The sequence below is a fragment of the Homo sapiens genome, chromosome 5 (genome assembly GCF_000001405.40).
Source record: "Homo sapiens chromosome 5, GRCh38.p14 Primary Assembly".
In the NCBI taxonomy this organism is placed as follows: Eukaryota; Metazoa; Chordata; class Mammalia; order Primates; family Hominidae; genus Homo; species Homo sapiens.
Window position 1 is genome coordinate 99,000,175 of NC_000005.10, and position 22,755 is coordinate 99,022,929.

Genomic DNA, 22,755 nt, shown 5'->3' on the forward strand with positions numbered 1-22,755 from the left:
CTACCCATTTTGAAATAAAGCAGTTAGTTTCTTCTTGTATTTAGAAACTCTACCCAGTAAGAGTCGGAGAGGAACAAAGTGAACATTAGTTATCAAAATGCATTGACTTACCTTTTGCTCTTAAGACACCACACACAGTCGGTAAGTACTTTTGTCTTTTTGTGGTAACTTTGTTTTCTATGGACTCATGTTGCTTTGATCAATGGTATTTGTGTGCCTCGTCTTAATCTAACTTTTTTGTTGTTTGACCAGTCCATCTGGCTTGACAGGCTAATGTGAAAAATTTGAAAATTGTTTGTGATTTGTCTTTTTAAATAGCATTTGCTCTTCTCTTGTTGTTTTGCTAAATCCTCACTTGCCTGGCAAATAAGGCAAACAGAAGGAATATGATTTGGAATAGTTGAATAAATAAATATTTGAGAGAGAAAGGAAAGCTTATTTTTTATAGAAAAATCCAATTAATATATGAGAAAAGAATGAGGAAACTTTAAAATTTCCAATAGACAAACACAATTGTTGCAGGTAAAATATGTGGAAGGATTCTAAAATCAGTGGGAAAAAGTTTGAGGAAAAATAAGATATTTGCATAGTCTCAAATTATTACCCCTAACATACTTATTAATAATGGGAAAAGAGGGATAATTACATGGAGAAATTTGGCAGATACCACCATGTCTCCTGATATTCTCTAAAATTAGTAGGCCTTAAATAAATATATTAACTTTTCTCTCAAGCCATCTCTTCCTGCTCTATATTCGATTTTCATTTAAATTATTAACAATTAGCCAATTTCTTGAGCTAGAATTATCAGAATAACCTTTGACCTCTCTTTCAAGACCTACTGTCCCTTCCTTCCTTCCCATAACTATTTGCCAGATTCTCTATTAGTCACTGAGAGCACTATTGTGAAAGAGCAGACATGGCCAGTTAATACTCATGGAGTTTACAACATAGTGGGGAATATACATAAGAAACATAATACATAAATAAAATAATTACAACATGTAAGAGATGCCATAAAGAAAATATAGAGGGTAATATGGTAGAAATTTACTGAGATAAAAATATTGAAGAAGGCTAATTCAGCTAAGCCTTCTGAAGCTGAGACCTGAAAGATGAGAAAGTTATGTCAAATGCTGCTAAGAAGTCCAACAATTAGCAACATTAAAATCTTTTGCTCTGAAAAAGACACTGGTAGAAAATGAAGACAAACCTACAGACTGGAAGAAAACATTTAAAGTCACACTTCTGACCAAAAAAACCACCAGCAGCCCCACCACCACCACCAACAACAACAACAAGAACCTGTGTTCAGAATATATAAAGAATGCTCAAAATTCAACAATTAAAAAAACAAAAATATAAACAAATCAACTCAAAAAGATATGTTGATGGTAAATAAGCATATGAAAAGATATGGTACTCATTATGGAAATGCAAAGTATGATCACAATGAAATGCCCAAAATACCTATGAGAATAGAGAAAAATTCCTGATATTACCAAATGTTGGTGAGGATGTGGATCAACTGGAATCCTCATATTTTGCTGTCATAGCCACTTTGAAAAACAATTTGACAACCTCGTTGATTTAAGCAGATTTAAACGATACTTACCATCATATATTCTATCATGTAAGAACATACTTTTCATAATGCAGGAGTCTGACTCTCAGATATTTACCCAAGATTTATGAAAGGTTATGTTCACACTGAAATCTGTACATGAATGTTTATTGCAGTTTTATTTGTAGTTGTCAAAACCTGGAAACAATTCAAACTTGAATAAATGAATTAGCAATTTGTGGTATATCTATACATTGGAACTCTTCTTAGCAATAAAATATGGGAAATATGATGGATTCATGTAGCAACATGAATGAATCTCAAATATATTTTGTGAAAGTGAAAGAAGATAGAAGCAAAAAAATTTATATTGTATGATTTTACATATTTAACATTCTAAACAAGTCAAAAATATTAAGATGGGAGACAAATCAGTGGTTGCCACGAGTAGGGTAGAGATGGAGGCTCACCATAAAGAGGAAGCAGGAAGGAATTTGGGGAGTGATGAAACTATTTTTTTTTTTTTGAGATGGAGTCTTGCTCTGTTGCCCAGGCTGGAGTGCAGCAGCATGATCTCAGCTCACTGCAACCTCCGCCCTCCTGGATTCAAGCGATTCTCCTGTCTCAGCCTCCTGAGCAGCTGGGATTACAAGTGCAGGACACCACTCCCAGCTAATTTTTGTAGACATGGGGTTTCACCATGTTGGCCAGGCTGGTCTCGAACTCCAGACCTTAAGTGATCTGCCCATCTCGGCCTCCAAAAGTGCTGGGATTACAGGTGAGAGCCACTGTGCCCAGCCTGATGAAACTGTTTGGTATATGACCGTGATGATGCTCTATGAATTTGTCAAAATTCATAGAAATATGAATTATAATAAGTGAGTTTATATAAATTTTAAATCTAAAATTTTTTAAAAGTTAAGCAAAATAAGAATTGAGAAAAGACTTTTCGAGTTTTTCATTATGCATTTCATGGGTGACTGAGCAGTTTTGATGAAGTGGGGCTAATTGAATCCAAATTGCATTATGTTTAAGAGGAAGTGAAGTAAGTAAATGGAAACATGTATGTGGACTTTTCTAGAAGTTTGGCTATAAAGGGGAGAAGGGAGGTAGATGGATGAGAATGTGAGCTTCTAATAAATTTTAATTTTTTGGGATGAGACCAATTAGAAATAAAACTAATAAAAATGTGCAAGACCTCTACTGAGAACATTACAAAATTTAATAGAAGATATAAAATTTCCAAATAAGTAGATGCATCATGTTCACTGATGAGATGACTTAATGCTACAAAAATCTAATTGTTCCCTTAATTAATTTATAAATCCAAACAATCTCAATAAAAATGCTAATGTGTGTGTGTGTATATGCATGTGTGTACTTTGCCAAATGGATTCCAAAATTCATTAGGACAAGCAAATGTATAAGAATGGCCAAAATAATCTTTGACAATATTAGGAATTACTTTATCAGTTTTGAGGACACATTATAAAGCTATATTAATAGAAACACTGTGGAACTGGTTCAGGAATAGACATCCGATTTTGAGATAGGAGCAAGGTTGTCTCCTTGAGGAACAATTCTACAATTCTACCAATAGAGTATACTGTAAGTTTTCCACTTTGCCTTCCTGAAAGTCACTAGAGGCTGTTTGATAGGTTATCTGTGTACTGGAAAGAGGGTAACATCCAGATTTTTCTGGGATTACTGGGACAGACTTAGAGTTGATGCTAATTCGTGGAGAATTCAAATGGTCTTTGACCAAATAGTCAGAGTGGGGATTTATAGATGTTAGAAGTTATATGGAGCTTTGGTCTAATTTCTTCTCACAGTGGGCCCTATGGTAATTCTCTTTATTTCTGAATTTGTAGTTCCCAAGAAAACACTTGAAAACCAACAGACTCTTCAAACTGGGTCCATTGCCTGTAGAATGATGGCTAACATGAAAAGGGCCAAGTAGAAACCACTAGAATTACTCTGATCAACCGAAATGTTAAATCAAAAGCAATAGTGCATCAATGAGGAGGTCTGTGGAGATTAATGTCACCATGAAAGTCTTGAGGGATGCAAGAGTGTTGATTTAGCTTGTCATGATGGTAGTGGGCTTTTGGAGAGTGATAGAGGATTTTCATAAACTTTTTTTTTTTTTTTTTTTTAGATAGAGTCTTGCCCTGTTGCCCAGGCTGGAGTGCCGTGGCTTGATATTGGCTGTCTGCAACCTCCGCCTCCCGGGTTCAAGTGATTCTCCTGCCTCAGCCTCCCAAGTAGCTGGGATTACAGGTGAGCGCCACCACACCTGGCTAATTTTTCTATTTTTAGTAGAGATGGGGTTTCACCATGTTGGCCAGGCTGGTCTTGAACTCCTGACCTCAAGTGACCAGCCTGCCTTGGCCTCCCAAAGTGCTGGGATTACAGGCATGAGCCACCGTGCCTGGCCAACTTTCATAAACTTAATCAGGTGGTGACAGGAAATACTACTGCTTTTATGTATGTAGTCTCTTTACTGGATCAAAACAACAAAATCTCTGATACCTAGTATGCAGCTATTGCTCTGGCAAATGCTTTATTCACTCTATTCCAACCAAGAAGCAATTTGCTGTCACATGATTAAGACAAAAAAAAATTCACTGTTAACTTTCAGCTCTGTGGCGGCTCTCTGTCATAATCCAGGCTACATAATCTATGAAATCATACTTATAGATCTATTGGGAAACTTTAGTAAGACACATTTGTGCTGGGGGAGGAGATAAATCCCATGAAAACTTATTGGGTTCCCAAGGTCCCTGGGGTTCGAGATATACTGAGATCTCTCCTCCAAAGTAAAAGTTAACTTGATGTATCTCCCACCCACTAGCATTAAACAAGTGGGTACTTTGTGGATCTGGAGTCAACATATGTCTAATTTGTGTGATTTGCTTTGCCCATTTACTGAGTTTCGAATGGAGCTCAGAGCAAAAGAAGACTCTGAAGCTGGTCCAGGTTACAGTACAAGTTATTTTACCATTTAGGCCATATGAATCAGCAGGTCTGTGACTTTTAGGGCTGTTCCATGGAGCTACTGGCAAATCCCCATAAAGAATGACAATCTATGCTTGTAAGATTTTAAGACAAAGTAATGTAGATATTCATTCACCTTTTTAGAAATGGCATCTTTCTTGCCACTCATTTCTGGTAGAGATTGAATATCTGACCATGGGACATCAAATGACCAGGCAATCTGAGATGAGTGTCATGAACTGGATGTATCTGATCCCCAAAGCTCTAAAGTTGGACATCAACAGCAAAACCCCATTATAAAGTGATAGTGGTGTGAGATTGAGCTCAAAGAGGTACTGAATATGTGATTTGCATGAATTGAGGTTTAGACTCTCATGACACCTACTGTTATTGCATTGCTGCCTGTCCTTCAACTCACTCTTCTGACCTCATGGGGAGTTCCCCCTGACTGAGGAAGAAAAAAATTCAGGCCTGGTTTACATATGATTCTGAGTGATATGCTGACACAGATAGAAGTGAATTGATGCATAATTATGGCCCAACTCAGAGGTGGTCTGGAATGATAGTAAGGAAATGAAATACTTCTACTGAGCAGGACTTCAAGCAGTATATCCGTCTGCTTGCCCACTCCACCTGGAAGGAGAGATGGCCAAAAATATGGATCATATTGACAGTGGCTAGTGATTGTCACTGGAAATTCAATGACTTGAAAGATACACAACTGGAGGAATGAAGATAAGGAGATCTGGGCAAAAGGTATTTGTATGTGCCCCCAGAATAAGGACAGAATATGAGTATTTGTCTCATGTGAATTCCTACCAAAGGTCACTGACTGAAGAGTCTTGCAGTTACCAGCTAGACAAGAAGACCCATTGTATGCATAACATTCAGCTTCTAGCTGCATCTACAAGTGCTTCCTCAAGGGCTTATGAACAAAGTGGCCTTGACAGCAGGAATGGAGATTACACATGGGTTCAACAACATGAACTTACTCTCATCAAGGCTGATCTGATTAATGCCACTGCTGAGTGCTTGCCTGGCCAGTAGCCTAGCTGAGCCTCTGAAAGAGCAGGATTCCCCGGGGAGACCAGTTACCAATCTGTTGGCAGGTTGATTTTCTTGAATATACTGTCACTTTGGATAAATTTGGCTTTAAAATTTGTGTTATTTGTCTGAAATGTCTGTCAGCATCACCATCAATTAACCTATGAATATTTCATTCACTATCATGGTATTACACATAATAGTGTTTCTCCAAGTATGATCCATGAAACCATAGGGATCTCCAAGACCCTTTCAGGGGATCTATAAGGCCAGAACAATTTTTAAAACAGAACTAAGACATTACTTGCCATTTTCTTTGTGTTTACATTTATACTGATAATGCAAAAGCAATGCTGGGTCAAACCTCTGTCTCCTTAGCACAAATCAAGGCAGGGGCACCAAACTGTACTGAGTTATAAGATTCTTGGCCACTGGGGACTCAGAAAAAAATGTAGTTTCACATCAAGAATATAGTGATGAGGTAGTAAAAATGATTACTTAGTAATTTTTTTTTTTGAGATGGAATCTTGCTCTGTTGCCCAGGCTGGACCCTAATTCCTGGGCTCAAGGGATCCTCCTGTCTCAGCTTCCCAAGTAGCTGGGACTACAAGTAAATGCTACCATGCCCAACTAATTTGATTAAATATTAACCCTTTAGTACATGGCTTCTAAATATTCTGTGTGGCAAATAAGTCATTCATATAGCACTTTTGCTGCGTACAAAAATACAATATTTGTCTTGTGGAAAAGCATTTGTGTGATGAAGTTGTGGGCCAAACTAGCTGATTTTTTTCATGGGGCACTATTTTTACTTGAAAGAACAATTGACAGACAAATTAGGATTATTCAGACTTGGATATTTGGCAGACATTTTCTCAAAAATGAATGCAGTAAGACTGTCATCTCAAGGAAAACAACTGACAGTATTTTGTTATCAATAAAAAAAAAATGTAAGCTTTCAACTAAGAGTTAGTGTTTTAGAAAACCATCCAGTACTCTGAGCATGAAAACTTCACAATTAAGATGTTAAAAATAATGTTAATGTGATATTAGTGATTGTCATTTTATTTTATTGTACAATGAAATGTGTCACTACTTGGAAGGTCTGAATAACTCAGTAATGCAATATTTTCCAAATGTTCAAAGCATGATGTTACAAAATCATGAAAGTTTCATTTAAAGTGCAAGTTAGGCCAATAGTTTTAATGTAACACAGTATATTGAATAACAAATTTAAATAAAAGGCAAAAGACAAATTGAGAAAACTATTTCAACACATATTAACACTGTCAGAAATAGCACTTTATATTATTTTAATAAGTATAATAGATCATTGAGTTATTTCTACTTGTTCGGGTATAGAAATGAAATAGTTTTTTTTTTTTAATTATTGTTTGAAAATGTGCTGTGTCGAAATTTCTTTTTCATCCCTTAGCACACTCTTGGGCAGATTCCAAAATCTTCTGGTTATTTTTTATTTTATTTTATTTTATTTTTCGACTTGGAGTTTTGCTCTTGTTGCCCAGGCTGGAGTACAGTGGCATGATCTGGGCTCACTGCAACCTCCACCTTCCGGTTTCCAGCAATTCTCCTGCCTCAGCCTCCTGAGTAGCTAGGATTACAGGTGCCTGCCACCATGCCCAGCTAATTTTTGTATTTTTAGTAGAGACGGGTTTCACCATGTTGGCCAGGCTGGTCTTGAACTCCTGGCCTTGTAATCCGCTCGCCTTGGCCTCCCAAAGTGCTGGGATTACAGGCATGAGCCACCGCGCCTGGGCTGGTTTTTTTTTTAATTAAATGTGTCCTGCATAGTTTCAAACCACCAGGTCATGTCTTCATTCCTAGTACTACCAAAAGCTGTGTTTCTGGCTACTGGGAGTGACTTCAAGAAATGGGTAGAGGGATTAGAAAAATGCTACAAAAATAGTTCTTGAATAGCCAAAATAACTACTCTCTGAATTGTATTCTTCCTACTTCTTAGCAGTGTGCTTTGTATGGAGTGGAAGATGGGGGTGGGAAGATGCTGTAGGGCTATTTTGTAAACCTTGAGGGTAGAGAAAACTCTCTGTTCACAAATTTGATGGCATTTTTATGTCTTTCTTTAGCATGTAGGATACTTGGCACCTCTGGACTTCAGCTTAAGTCTAAGCCTAGATTGAAGAGAGTAGAAAAGTCTACCTAACACCCTATTCTATAAGAAAAATACTAATACTACAATAGAAAAATGACAAAAGATCCTAAGCAGAAAATCCACAAAAATACAAATCACTAATAAACATTTGCAATCTTAGGAAATCCAAAATATTGTTGGACCAGTTGATATGGTTTGGCTGTGTCCCCACCCATATCTCATCTTGAATTCCCACATGTTGTGGGAGGGAAACAGTGGGAGGTAATTGAATCAAGAGGGCAGGTCTTTCCTGTGCCATTCTTGTGATAGTGAGTAAGTCTCATGAGATCTGATGGTTATTATAAGGGGGTGTTTTCCTGCACAAGCTCTCTTTGCCTGCTTCCATCCATGTAAGACGTGACTTGCTCCCCCTTCCACCATGATTTTGAGGCCTCCCCAGCCATGTGGAACTGTGAGTCCAATAAACTTCTTTCTTTTGTAAATCGCCCAGTATCTGGTATGCCTTTATCAGCAGCACGAAAACAGACAAATACACCAGTATGACAATTTTATATATCATACTGCCATTAAAATTTATAATATCAAGGCTGGGTGCGGTGGCTCACGCCTGTAATCTCAGCACTTTGGGAGGCCGAGGCGGCAGATCAGCTGAGGTCAGGAGTTCAAGACCAGACTGGCCAACATGGTGAAACCCCATCTCTACTAAAAATACAAAAATTAGCTGGGTGTGGTGGCGTGCCCCTGTAGTTCCAGCTACCTGGGAGGCTGAGGTGGGAGAATCGCTTGAACCCAGGAGGTGGAGGTTGCGGTGAGCTGAGATCATGCCATTGCACTCCAGCCTGGGTGACAGAGCAAGACCTTATCTCAAAAAAAAAATACATAATACTAAAATGTTTCAAGCTTATGGGTGATAGGCACTTTTCATACACTGCTGATGGATTTCAAATAAGAATAACCAGTTATGAGGAACAATTTGGGGACCCATGTCAAGAACCTGTGTCAATACAAATATATTCATACTCTTTGACCTACTAATTCCTTTTCCAAAAATTTACTCAAGAAAATAATCTTAGATACTGTATTAGTCAGTTTTGCATTGCTATAAAAAAAAACCTGAGATTGGGTAATTTATAAAGAGAAGGGGTTTAATTGGTTCACAGTTCTTCAGACCATACAAGAAGCATGATACAAGCATCTGCTTTTGGTGAGCCTCAGGTAGCTTACAATCATGACTGAAGTTGAAGGGGTAGCCACCATCTCACATGGTGACAGTGGGAGCAAGAAAGTAGGGGAGGTACCACATGCTTTTAAACAACCAAATATAAAATTAACTGAACATGGTGGCACACACCTGTAGTCCCAGCTACTTGGGAGGCTGAAGCACGAGAATTGCTTGAATCAGGGAGGTGGAGGCTGCAGTGAGCCAAGATTGTGTCACTGCACTCCAGCCTGTGTGACTCCATCTCAAAAACAAACAAACAAAAAAACAACAATAGCCAAATCTCACGAGAACTCATTCACTATTGTGAGGACAGCACAAAGCTATAAGATTAACAACCATGACCCAAACACCTCCATCCCGGCCTGATCTCCAACACTAGGGATTAAATTTTAACATGAGACTTGGAAGGGAAAACTATGCAAACCATATTATTCCACCCTGGCACCCCAAATCTCATGTGCTTCTCACATTTCAAAACACAATTATCCCTTCTCCCAAAATGACATTGGTCCTCCGAAGTCTCAACTCACTTCAGCCCCAACTCAAAAGTCCCAAAGCCCAAAGTCTTATCTGGAGATGAGTTATGTCCACCTATGAGCCTGTGAAATCAAAGACAAATAATTTACTTGCAAGATACAATGGGGGTAGAGGCATTGGATAAACATTGCCTTCCAAAAGGGAGAAACTGGTCAAAAGAAAGGGGCATCAGAGCCCATGCAGATCTGAAACTCAGCAGAATAGTCATTAAATCTTAAAGCTCCAAAATAATCTCCTTTCACTCCATGAACTGCATCCAGAGCACACTGGTGCAAGGAGTGGTCTCCCAAGCCTTTTGGCAGCTCCACCCCTGTGCCTCTGCAGGCTGCAGTCCCCACAACTGCTCTCAAAGGCTGGAGTTGAGAGATTGTGTCTTTTCCAGGTGCCAGGGCACAAGCTACACAAGTGGCTCTACCATTCTAAGGTCTAGAGGATAGTGGCCCCCTTCCCACGGCTCCACTAGGCAGTCCCCAGTGGGGACTCTGTGTGGGCTCTGACCCCACATTTCTCCTTTGCACTGCCCTAGTAAATTTCTCTGTGTGGGGCCCCACATTGTGGCAGGCTTCTGCCAGGCACTCTGGCTTTCCAATACATCGCTTTCCAATATATCGCTGAAATCCAGGGGGAAGTTGCTAAGCATCTTTCACGTTTACGCTGTTTACCTGCAGGCTTAAAACCACATGGAGGCTGGCAAAACTTATGGCTTGCACCCTCTGGAGTGGTGGACCGAGCTGTATTTGGGGCCCTTTGAGCAGAGATTGGAGCTGAAGTTGCCTAGATGCAGGGAGCTGTGTCCCCAGGCTGCATAGTGTCCTTGTGGCCTGTGATGGGAGGAGCTGCCTTAAAGGTCTCTGAAATGCCTTCAAGGCCTTTTTTCCATTGTCTTGCAGATTAGCACTTGGCTCACCTTCAGTCATGCTAATTTCTTTAGCAAGTGGTTGCTCCACAGCCACTTGGATTCTTCCCCTGAAAATGGGCTTTTTTTTTTTTCCTACTACATGGTTAGGCTACAAATTTTCCAAACTTTTATGCTCTGCTTCCCATTCATATTAATATAATTTCCAACTTTAAGCCATTTCTTTGCTCCTCTATCTGAACATAGGTTGGTAGAAGCAGTCAGGCCACACTGTGAATGCTTTGTTACTTAGAAATTTTGTCTCACACGTCCGTGTGAAGAGACCACCAAACAGGCTTTGTGTGAGCAACAAGGCTGTTTATTTCACCTGGGTGCAGGCAGGCTGAGTCTGAAAAGAGAGTCAGCAAAGGGTGGTGGATTATCATTAGTTCTTATAGATTTTGGGATAGGCAGTGGAATTAGGAGCAATGTTTTGAGGGCAGGGGATGGATCTCACAAAGTACATTCTCAAGGGTGGGGAGAATTACAAAGAACCTTCTTAAGGATGGGGGAGATGACAAAGTACATTGATCAGTTAGGGTGGGGCAGAAACAAATCACAATGGTGGAATGTCATCAGTTAAGGCTATTTTCACTTCTTTTGTGGATCTTCAGTTGCTTCAGGCCATCTGGATGTATTCGTGCAGGTCACAGGGGATATGACAGCTTAGCTGTGCTCAGAGGCCTGACATTCCTGCCTTCCTATATTCATAAGAAAAATAAAATGAAATAGTGGTAAAGTGTTGAGGCGGCGAAAATTTTTGGGAGTGGTATGAAGAGATAATAGGCAATGTTTCTCAGGGCTGCTGCAAGCAGAACTAGGGGTGACGTGGGAACCTAGAGTGGGAAAGATTAAGCTGAAGGAAGATTTTGTGGTAAGGGGTGATATTGCAGGGTTGTTAGAAGAAGCATTTGTCATATAGAATTATTGGTGATGGCCTAGATGTGGTTTTGTATGAATTGAGAAACTAAACGAAAGACACAAGGTCTGAATAAAAGAAGCAGAAAAATAGGTATTAAAGGACTAAGAATTGGGAGTACTGGGAGTACCCAGGACATCCAATTAGAGAGTGTCCAGGGGAGTTCAACATTATTGTTTGCTTGGTTGGTGAGTTTTTGGGCTCTATCCTTGAGTTTTTTTATGTTGTCATATACCAGGCCAGATTGATTTAGGTAAAAACAACACTCTTCATTTAAAAATATACAGAGTCCTCTTTTTTTTAGCAGTGAGTAAGTCAAGGCCTTGGAGATTTTGGAGGAAAGAGAAATGCAAAGCCAGCAACTGTTTGTTAAAGAAGGATTAGAAATGGGTAGGAGAGAGTGAGATTGATAGTGTGGTGGAGATAGCTGGGGAGAGGTAGAGGGTAGCATAAGAAAGGGAACCAGAATAAGAGTGAGTATAAAAGTAAAGAATAGGACTTCATCAGGGTGAAAGTATTGGAGGGTACCTTGCCACTGAAGATCTTCTATCCACTTCAAGAGAGACTTAAGAGTGGCGATTTGAGGTAAAACCAGGAGCCACTAAATACCAAGAGCCTAAGAAACTGCTTGGGTGATTTGACTAATAAAGGCCGGTCCGTTATCAGACTGTATAGAGGTGGGAAGGCCAAACTGAGGAATTATATCTGACAGAAGGGAAGAAATGACCGCGGTGGCCTTCTCAGACCCTGCGGGAAAGGCCTCTACCCACCCAGTGAAAGTGTCTACCCAGACCGAGAGTATTTTAGTTTCCTGACTTGAGGCATGTGAGTAAAGTCAATTAGACAGTCCTGGGCAGGGGCAAATCCCCGAGCTTGATGTGTAGGGAAGGGAAGCAGCTCGAACAATCCCTGAGGAGTAGTAGAATAGCAGATGGAACAACTGAGAAGTGATTTCCTTGAGGATAGATTTCCATGATGGAAAGGAAATGAGAGGTTCTAAGAGGCAGGCTAGCGGCTTGTAACCTACATGGAAGAGGTTATGAAATGATGACAGAATAGAATGGGCCTGTGAGGCTGGAAGGAGATATTTTCCTTGGTCCAAGAACCATTTGCCTTGTGTGGGAAGAGATTGATAGGTGGAAATTTCAGCGGGGTAGTAGGTGGGAGTGGCCAGATGAGGAGAAAAACTGCCACGAGGGATAGAAGTTGGAATGCTAGCTGCTTTTTAGCTACCTTATAGCATTGCCCTGAGCAATGGGATCTAATGCCTTTTGATGGGCCTTGCAGTGAATGACTCCAGCTTCCTTTGGAAGTAAAGTGGCCTTGAGAAGAGTTTTTATTAAAGAGGCATTAATGATGGAGGACCCTTGCATAGTGAGGAAATTTCTTTCTGCCCATATAACAGCATGGTGGTGCAGGATATGGAAGGCACATTTAGAGTCAGTATAAATATTGGCACGTAATTCCTTTGCAAGAGTGAGGGCTCGAGTTGAGGCAATGAGTTTGGCTTGCTGAGAGGTATTGGAGGGGGGCAGAGCAGTAACCTGAATGATAGATGTGGAAGATACTATAGCATAGCCTGCCTTTTCTGGTATGTGGCGATTAGGCCTGGTGGAACTGCCATCAATAAGCCAAGTGTGATCTGGGTGAGGAACATGAAAGAAGGAAATACAGGGAAATGGAGTGAATGTCAGGTGGATCAGAGAGATACAGTCATGAGGGGTGGGGGCCAGCCTAAAACAGTAAGGTCAAATTGTTTGGACAGAAAGACTACAGGGCATGGTCCCGGCTCTTGTGTAAGAATTTTGACTGCGCAGCCCTGTACTTTGGCTGTGTGTAATGAAAAGGGTTGGGATGAGTTAGGGAGAGCCAGCGTGGGGGCCGCTTCTAGGGCTGTTTTTAAGTAACGGAAAGAGGAGTGGCAAAAGGATTTAGGATCTGTGGGGTCAGCTAGGTTTGCTTTTGTGAGTTTACATAATGGTTTAGTCAGGATGGTAAAACTAGGTACCCAAAGGTGGAAGTACCTAACCATGCCTAGGAAGGAAAGGAGTTGTTGTTTTGTAGAAGGGATTGGGGTTTGAGAGATTAGCTGGACACGATCAGCAGGGAGAGCACGTGTGTTTTCATGAGAATTATGCTGAGATAGGTAACAGACGAGGAAGAAATTTGGGCTTGACTGAAGTAATGGGGGCTGTCTGTGAAGCCTTGGGCAGTATGGCCCAGGTAATTTGCTGAGCCTGATGGGTGTCAGGGTCAGTCCAAGTGAAAGTGGAGAGAGGCTGCGATGAAGGGTATAAAGGAATAGTAAAGAAAGCATGTTTGAGATCCAGAACAGAATAATGGGTTGTGGAGGGAGGTATTGAGGATGGGAGAGTATATGGGTTTGGCACCACGGGGTGGATAGGCAAAACAATTTGGTTGATAAGGCACAGATCCTGAACTAACCTGTAAGACTTGTCCGGTTTTTCGACAGGTACAATGGGGGAATTTTAAGGAGAGTTTATAGGCTTTAAAAGGCCACGCTGTAACATACAAGTGATAACAGGCTTTAATCCTTTTAAAGCGTGCTGTGGGATGGGATGTTGGCACTGAGCGGGGTAAGGGTTATTAGGTTTTAATGGGATGGTAAGGGGTGCATGATTTGTCACCAAGGAGGGAGTAGAGGTATCCCATACTTGTGGGGGTTAAGGTGGAGAGATACGAGAGGAGGATGCGAAGGAGGCTTTGAACTGGGGCAAAAGGTGGCAATGAGGTGTGGCTGTAGCCTGGGAATATTTAGTTAAAATGTCTCGACCTAATAAGGGAGCTAAGCAGGTGGGGATAACTAAAAAAGAGTGCATAAAAGAATGTTGTCCAAGTTGGCACCAGAGTGAGGGAGTTTTTAAGGGGTTTAGAAGCCTGGCTGTCAATACCCACAAGAGTTATGGGGGCAAGGGAAACAGGCCCTTGAAAAGAAAGTAATGTGGAGTGGGTAGCCTCTGTATTGATTAAGAAGGGGACAGACTTACCCTCCACTGTAAGAGTTACCCAAAGCTTGGTGTCCGTGATGGTCTGGGGGCTTCTGAGGGGATCAGTCAGCATCAGTCTTCAGCAGCTAAGCCAAGTAGATCTGGGAAGGAGTCAGTCAGAGAGCCTTGGGCCAAAGTTCCAGGGGCTCTGGAAGTGACTGCCAGGTGAGTTGAACAGTCCGATTTTCAGTGGGGTCCCACACAGATGGGACACAGCTTGGGAGGAATCCTGGGCTGCGGGCATTCCTTGGCCCAGTGGCCAGATTTCTGGCACTTGAAGGGAACTCCTGGGGGAGGAGCTTCTGGAGGAACCCCTGGCAGCTGCAGTTCAGGCATTTGGAGTTCTTGTGTGCTGGAGATGTGCTTGGGGTTTTTCTCACAGTGGAGGCAAGGAATTGCAACTCAGAAATACATTGCTACTTGGCTGCCTCTACTCTATTACTGTACACCTTGAAGGCGAGGTTGATTAAGTCCTGTTGTGGGGTTTGAGGGCCGGAATCTAATTTTTTGGAGCTTTTTCTAATGTCGGGAGCAGACTGGGTAATAAAGTGCATATTGAGAATAAGACGGCCTTCCTCTGGGTCTAGGACCATAAAGCATCTAAGGGTTGTTGCCAAACAGGCCATGAACTGGGCTGGGTTTTTATATTTGATGAAAAAGAGCCTAAATGCTAACTGATTTGGGAGACGTCAGATAAAGAAAAAAGGAGCATTAACCTTGACTATGCCTTTAGCTCCAGCCACCTCTTTAAGGGGAAATTGTTGGGCAGGTGGGGGAGGGCTAGTCGAGGAAAGAAACTGTAAGCCAGACCAGGTGTGGGGAGGGGAGGTAATAGAAGGATTATAGGGTAGGGGAGCAGAGGCTGAAGAAGAGCTGGAGCCTGATTCAGCCTGGCGGGGAGAAACCTGAGGTGGAGCAGTCTGGGGAGGAGGTAAGAGGTCAGATAGGTCAGTAGAAAAGGAAGATTCACAGGATTCAGAGCTTGGGGTGGAGACTGAAGGAACAGACAGGAGAGAAAGAAGAAAGATTTGGGACAAGTCGCATTGGGAGCAGAGACTAGGGAGGGACCAATGTGTAAAAGAATGCCTGGGGACGTCAGGCACCTCAGACAATTTGCCCATTTTTTTGACAAAAATTATCTAGATCTTGTAGGATGGAGAAATTAAAAGTGCTATTTTCTGGCCATTTAGAACCATTATTGAGTTTGTATTGGGGCCAAGTGGTATTGCAGAAGAAAATAAGGCATGTAAGTTTTAGGTCAGGTGAGAGTTGAAGAGGTTTTAAGCTCTTGAGAACACAGGCTTAGGGAGAAGAAAGGGGAATGGAGGGCAGAAGTTTGCCCATAGTAAAGGAGGTAAGTTTAAAAAGAAAGGTACAGACATGGAGAGAATGGGTGGAGACATGGGGAGAAGGGGTGGGGGGTGCTTGCCTCCCAGGAAAGGGGAGAAGGGGTGGAGACACGGAGAGAAGGGGTGGGGACACGGAGAGAAGGGGTGGGGGGTGCTTGCCCCCCAGGAAAGTGGAGAAGGGGTAGAGACACGGACAGAAGGGGTCGGGGGGTGCTTGCCCCCCAGAAAAGTGGTGCTTGCTGCTAAAGGTGAAAGACCAAGGAAGGCATCCCCACATGGTCAGACACCTCTGAAACATGGGTGAATAATCAGGCAGGCATCCCTGCAATGATTAAATAGCAAGGGAAGGCTGCCTTCCCGGGTCACACTGGAGTTTTGGGTCCACAGATAAAATGTGTCTCCTTTGTCTCTACCAGAAAATGAAAGGAATTGAAATTAAGAGAAGGGAGAGACTGAAGGGTGGTGCCAAGACTGAAAGGAGAAAGAGGTTGAGGGATAGTGAGAGAGGTTGGAGAAGAGAGTAAAAAGAGGCCGCTTACCTGATTTAAAATCGGTGAGATGTTCCTTGGGCTGGTTGGTCTGAGGACCCAAGGTCATAGGTGGATTTCCTCACGGAGTGAGGGTGAGGACAGGGGACTGGTCTCCTGAAGGAGTCTCACTGACCTGGGTCTTCGGCACCAAGTGTCTCATGTGTCCATGTGAAGAGACCACCAAACAGGCTTTGTGTGAGCAACAAGGCTGTTTATTTCACCTGGGTGCAGGCGGGCTGAGTCTGAAAAGAGAGTCAGCAAAGGGTGGTGGATTATCATTAGTTCCTATAGGTTTTGGGATAGGCAGCAGAGTTAGGAGCAATATTTTGCTGGCAGGGGGTGGATCTCACAAAGTACATTCTCAAGGGTGGGGAGAATTACAAAGAACCTTCTTAAGGGTGGGGGAGATGACAAAGTACATTGATCAGTTAGGGTGGGGCAGAAACAAATCACAATGGTGGAATGTCATCAGTTAAGGCTATTTTCACTTCTTTTGTGGATCTTCAGTTGCTTCAGGCCATCTGGATGTATACGTGCAGGTCACAAGGGATATGATGACTTAGCTTGGGTTCAGAGGCCTGACAAATTTCTTCTGCCAGATACCCTAAGTCATCACTCTTAAGTTCAAACTTCCACAGATCCCTAGGGCATGAACACAATGCAGCAAAGTTCTTTGATAAGGAGTAACATGGGTTACCTTTATTCCAGTTCCAAATAAATTCCTTATTTTCATCTGAGATCTTGTTAGCTTGGCCTTCACTGTTTATATTTCTATCAGCATTTTGGTTATAACTACTCTGTAAGTCTCTAAGAAGTTCCAAACTTTCCCTTGTCTTCTTGTCTTCTGAGATCTTCAACCTCTCCTGTTACCCAGTTTCAAAGCCACTTTCACATTTTCAGGTATCTTTAAAGCAACACCATATTTTTTATTTTTATTTTTATTTTTAGACAGAGTCTCACTCTGTCACCCAGGCTGGAGTGCAGTGGCATGATCTCAGCTCACTGCAACCTCCGCCTCCCGGTCTCAAGCAATCATCCTGCCTTAACTCCCCTGTAATAGCTGGGATTACAGGCACCTACCACCACACCTGGCTAATTTTTGTATTTTTGGTAGAGATGGGGTTTCACCATGTTGGCCAGGCTGGTCTTGAACCCCTGACCTCAGGTGATCCACTCATCTTGGCCTCCCAAAATGTTGGGATTACAGGTGTAAGCCACTGCACCCAGCCAACACTCTAGTTTTGGTACCAATTTTCTTTATTAGTTTTGTATTGCTATAAAAATTTACCTGAGACTCGGTAATTTATAAAGAAAAGAAGTTTAATTGATTCACTGTACACTACAGACCATACAAGAAGCATGGTGCTAGTATCTGCTTCTGGTGAGGTCCTCAGGAAGCTTACAATCATTGTGAAAGGGAAAGGGGTACTGGCATCTCATGGTGAGAGTGGGAGCAAGAAAGAGGTTGGGGAGGTGCCACATACTTTTAAACAACCATATTTTCATTATAACTCACTTACTATCATGAGTACAGTACATGGCATGACGGGTCCACCCCCATGACCCAAACACATCTCACCAGGCCCCACCTCTAACATTGGGCATTGTATTTCAACATGACATTTGGAGGGACAAATATCCAAACCATATCAGATACTATCAAGGATATATGAGCAAAGATAATCTTCATGAAATTATGAGAGTAAAGATTACAACCGTTTAAATAACCATAGAGAACCGTTAAATAAATTATGGTGTACCTATATGAATAAAATGTTATATAACCAATAAAATGCTTTTGAATAATTGGTTAATATATAACTTTCTCAGAGTACAATATATTTTAAATGAATAAAGTGGAACAAAATATTGAATGCATACTATGATTTCAATATTATTTATTAATGCATAAACATACAAAAGTAGAGAAAATGTTTCTATGATGATATATTAAATCGATAAAGTGGAATATAAGATTGAATGAATAGATTGTTTGCTTTTTAAACCTCATAACATATAAAGATGATTGGGAGAAAAATGCTGTACCATCATATTTATTATTTATATAATTAAGATTCATTAAAATTAGATCATCTTTCTAATAATGAAAGTCATTGGTGTTTTTTATGTTTTACTAGATTATTCAAGTGTATTTACCAATTAGGAGATAATAGCATAATGTCACTAAAAATATTTATTGAGTACTTACACTTATGTCATTGCTAACCTATTAAATATCAACAGATAAGACATATTCTCTGTTTAAAGCCTAGACTGAGGAAGAGAATATATACATACAAGGGTATGTATTGCTTTTTAAACCTCATAACCCACAGAATATAACAAATCATTAGTACTAAGAATACAAGAAATGATATAGGAGTTCAAATTTCAAGGAATAATTATTTTTACTTTTTATTCTTTTTTAAGATGTAGTCTCACTCTGTTGCCTAGGCTGGAGTGTAGTGGCTAGATCTCTGCTCACTGCTGCAACCTCTGCCTCCTGGGTTCAAGCGATTCTCCTGCCTCAGCCTCCTGAGTAGCTGGAATTACAGGCACCCACGACCACTCCCAGCTAATTTTTTTTTGTGTGTGTATTTTTTAGTAGAGACAAGGTTTCACCATGTTGGCCAGGCTGTTCTAGAATTCCTGACTTCAAGTGATCTGCCCATCTCGGCCTCCCAAAGTGCTGGGATTACAGGTGTGAGCCACCGTGCCTGGCCCAGTTTTTAAAAGAGACAGTGGCAACAGAGGAAAGTAAGATGTGACTGGGCTTCTAAAAATGAATAGAATTTTTTTTAAAGAGCAAAAAGGGGAGAAATAGAAGCAGAAGAAATAATATCAACAGAAGCTTAAAATGTGGCAGTTGTATTAGTTTCCTAAGTTTGCTGTAACAACAAAAAATACTGGAGAGCTAGGTGGCTTAAAACAGTAGAAAAGTATTATCTCACAGTTTAGAAATCAGAAATCAAGGTGTTGGCCGGGCCATGCTTCCTCCGAAAGCTTCAGAAGAATCCTTCCTTGCCTCTTCCTAGCTTCTGGGTTTGCTGGCAATCTGTGGCATTCCTTTGCTTGCAGATGCGTCACTTCAATCCTCCTTCTTCACATGATGTTCTCCCTGCCTTTACATCATCTTCCTTCTGTTCGTGTCTGTCTCTGTGTCCAAATTTCCACCTTAATGACCTCATTTTAACTTGGTTACCTCTGTGAAAACTCTATTTCCAAACATGGGAAGATTCTGAGGTATTAGGGGTTAGGACTTCAACGTACGTTTATTGCAGGATACAATTGAACCCATAATATTTTATTTTTACTTTTTTTTTTTTTTAGAGATGGGATTTTATTATCTTGGCCAGGCTGGTCTCAAAACTCCTGGCCTGAAGTGAACAGCGTGCCTTGGCTTCCCAAAGTGCTGGGATTATAGGCATGAACCACTGCACCTGGCCAGAAACTTCTTATATAGCAATGATTTGAGAGTAATAGGATTAAGTTTAGAGTGAGCTACTAGGGTGGGGCATAAAGAACTTTGAATACTAGGCTGAGGAAATTAATTTTAAAAAATACAGGTAGGTGATGAAGAGCCACTGAAAATGTTCAAGAAGTAGGACTGAACTCGTGCAACTCCCTTACTCTCTTGGCAAGCTCTCACTGAAGTAACTGGAAAGCTTTATCTTTGGTTTTGTTTGTTTTTGGTAATGAAAACGTTAACTTCACTTTTAAACAGGTAAGATATGAGGAATACATGGGAGGTAGAAAGCAAATGGTGTCAAAAAGACAGAGAAAGAACACAGGAAGCAGCAGCATGGAATGGTGGAGGGAAGCCCTGCTCTCTCTAGAAGTTCTGGGCTGAATCCATACAAAACAAAACAACACAACAACAAAAAACTGGGTCATGGAGAAATCTGCAACGTTTTATGTATAAAAGGTGCCAAAAATTTCCATGAACTGGAAAGTCTATTCAAAATTTACACTGAAGACATTGTCCAGTGACTGTAACTGTGGTGACTCATCACATAAAACCTATAATGAGCTTCCTTTTCACAGACCACATGTTGGGCACTTATCCTTGATATATGGCTTTAGTATGACATCATTCTCATTTAAGAACAACTTTATTTCTGGAAAACTGTACTCTGTACAAATTATCTGTTGCCATTTTGCATGAAATCAGTGCAAAAGCCTCTCATCATAATACTAAATGCCTTCTTAAAGTTTCTGTCAGGGGCCAGGCATGGTGGCACCTGCCTGTAGTCACAGCTACTTGGGAGGCTGAGGTGAGAGGATCACTTGAGCCCAGGAGTTCCAGGCAGCAGTGAGCTATGATCATGCCACTCCACTCCAGTCTGCATGACAGAATGAGACCCTGTTTCTATAAAGAAAAACAAAGACAAAACAAAAACTCTATCAGTGCAAATCCAACCTAATTACTTAATTATATTTCCAAAGTTTGAATTCTGGAGGCAAGCACACACTTGACAGGGCAAGGTACAGAGCTTTTATAGAGGCTTGACCCTTCTCCCACATGAAATAATCAGGATTCCTGCTCTCTGCATTCATCTCTGAAGCAGTCACAGGAAGGGGACTTTGGAAAGTCAACTAGTTTTATAACTAAATCTCATTTAGATGTAGTACTTTATATATTTTTAGTGACTGGAAATACCTTATTTTTGTCTAAAAAATTTCAGAGTATTATTATTAAGTGTTTAGAAACAGGGTCTTGCTATGTTGTCAAAACTGTATTCGAACTCCTGGTCTCAAGCAATCCTTCCTCCTCAGCCCCCCAGATAGGTGGGATTACAGGTGCATGGCACGACACTCTGCTAAACATTTCAGATTTATTAGACAAGTTACAAAATATTGAGAGAAAAATACAATAAGCAAATTTTCTGATTGTGATTAATTGCTGAGATCTTATATAAGCAGGAAAACTGCTTCATATATCTCTATTCTTTGCAATGGTAATTATTTCCCTGTAGCTAAGTTTATTACAAGAAAGGAAGACGTATTCAGATACATATTTATTTGGCTGTCTGTCAGTAGGGGAAGAAGGTAAATCTGTATGAATGATGATTTAGTCTAACTTTCATATCTGCTTTCAAATTTTAATTGAACCTGAATCTAACTGTCCTCCCTCACCTCCTCCATCCTTCCCTTCAACTGAAAGCTTGAGGATAATAAATATAACTCTCTTTGTACTCCAAAGAGATAATTTCAAATTCATGGAGAAAATGGGTTAAATGGCAGGTCAGCATGGAAGAGATTAGTACATGGCTAATACCCTATGATGGTGGGACTCAGATCCAGACCAGATGTATTTCTATAAGTAATTGTGTAGAAAAAAGTCTCAGAGACGTTTTAATAGTTGGGTTCATTTATGGCAATTTAATTATTCTCTAGGTTGGCCTGGTTAATCTAGGAGCAAATCTCTTATATGGTTCAATCTAGAGTAGATCTAATCACCCTTTATTTAAAAACTATTTCTTTTATTTTTTAGTAGAGATGAGGTCTTGCTATGTTGCCCAGGCTGCTCACTCCTAGCCCAAATGATCCTCCCTCCTCAGCCTCCCAAAGTGCTGGGATTACAGGCATGAGGCACCACACCTGGCTTTCTAATCTACTCTTAAATAGCAGGATTTGCAGAACTTTCCCTCTTAAGTAGCATACTAAATGTTATTAAGAAAATAAAATCTAAAGTGGTGTTTTTTTCCCCACTGTGAATTGAAAAGGGAAGAGTAAAGCATCTCCTTTCCCCAAACAAGAGAGGAGTGGCCAGCAATTTGTTTTTAAAGGCCTGAGTTAGAACTTCTCTTTCCGCGTCTGGTTAGACAGGAGAAAAGTAAACTGGATTATCTCAGAGGAAGAAAGCACCAAAACTGGATTTTGGAGTTGAACAGATAAATGTGGCTTATCTCCACCAGGTAGCTTCCCAGTGGTGTGGTGACTGAGGGTGCACATTACCCCTTGTGGAGCCAAGGGTGTAGGAGGAAGGACTCTTCCAGAAAGTGCATGGATGCTGTAGCTTTGAGAATCATGGTGAAAGCTTCCAGTGCTCATAATTGCCATGAAGGAAATGGGCTGCTGGTCTTCTATGAACATCACAGGTTTAGAAGATGATAAAGCACAGACTAGAGTCCTTCTCCAAGTTATCAGGGCAGCATTCATCCACCCCAGGGAGACCCTTCTCTCTTGCCTCCCCATGATAACTAATATCTGCTGTTTTTAATTCCATAGTGAGTGTGGGCATAACTCCAAATTTAATTTGATATAAGGAAATAAAGGAATGTGATGCTTTCTGTACCTGAATATATAGAAGGTATTTGCTTTCTAGAAGGTCAGGGCCAAGGTTATTGCTAAAATTAGATTCACAACCAGAGTCATCCTCAAGATTCTCAAAATGTTACTCTGGCATGTTTGTGCCAGAGACATAAAGTTATTCAATGTTGTATTAAGTTTGTGGATATAACCCGATAAATTCCAGGAGGATGGGTGACCAGAAGAGCCTTAAATTTGTTACTCATGAACTATGTTAACATATCTTTCTTTCATATTCACTCAATAT

General features: G+C 40.9%; 1 long non-coding RNA gene across 1 annotated transcript in view, besides 2 other annotated features; it reads left to right on the plus strand.

The window, feature by feature from the left end:
* The window catches only part of CHD1-DT (CHD1 divergent transcript), a 75,460-nt gene extending 71,613 nt beyond the window's left edge, over positions 1–3,847 (plus strand). Inside the window, exon 4 of the long non-coding RNA NR_151718.1 lies at positions 3,727–3,847. This is a non-coding gene — a long non-coding RNA (CHD1 divergent transcript). The remainder of the gene's footprint in view (positions 1–3,726) is intronic.
* Positions 5,123–5,182: an enhancer, noted in NCBI's record as "active region_22839". NCBI's record gives its function as "activates an Ori minimal core promoter by ATAC-STARR-seq in GM12878 lymphoblastoid cells {active_cell/tissue: GM12878}" and the evidence as "EXISTENCE:reporter gene assay evidence [ECO:0000049][PMID:35858748]".
* Positions 9,975–10,491: an enhancer, noted in NCBI's record as "OCT4-NANOG-H3K27ac hESC enhancer chr5:98345853-98346369 (GRCh37/hg19 assembly coordinates)". NCBI's record gives its function as "activates a minimal SCP1, AML or CMV promoter by ChIP-STARR-seq in primed H9 embryonic stem cells {active_cell/tissue: H9 hESC(primed)}" and the evidence as "EXISTENCE:reporter gene assay evidence [ECO:0000049][PMID:30033119]".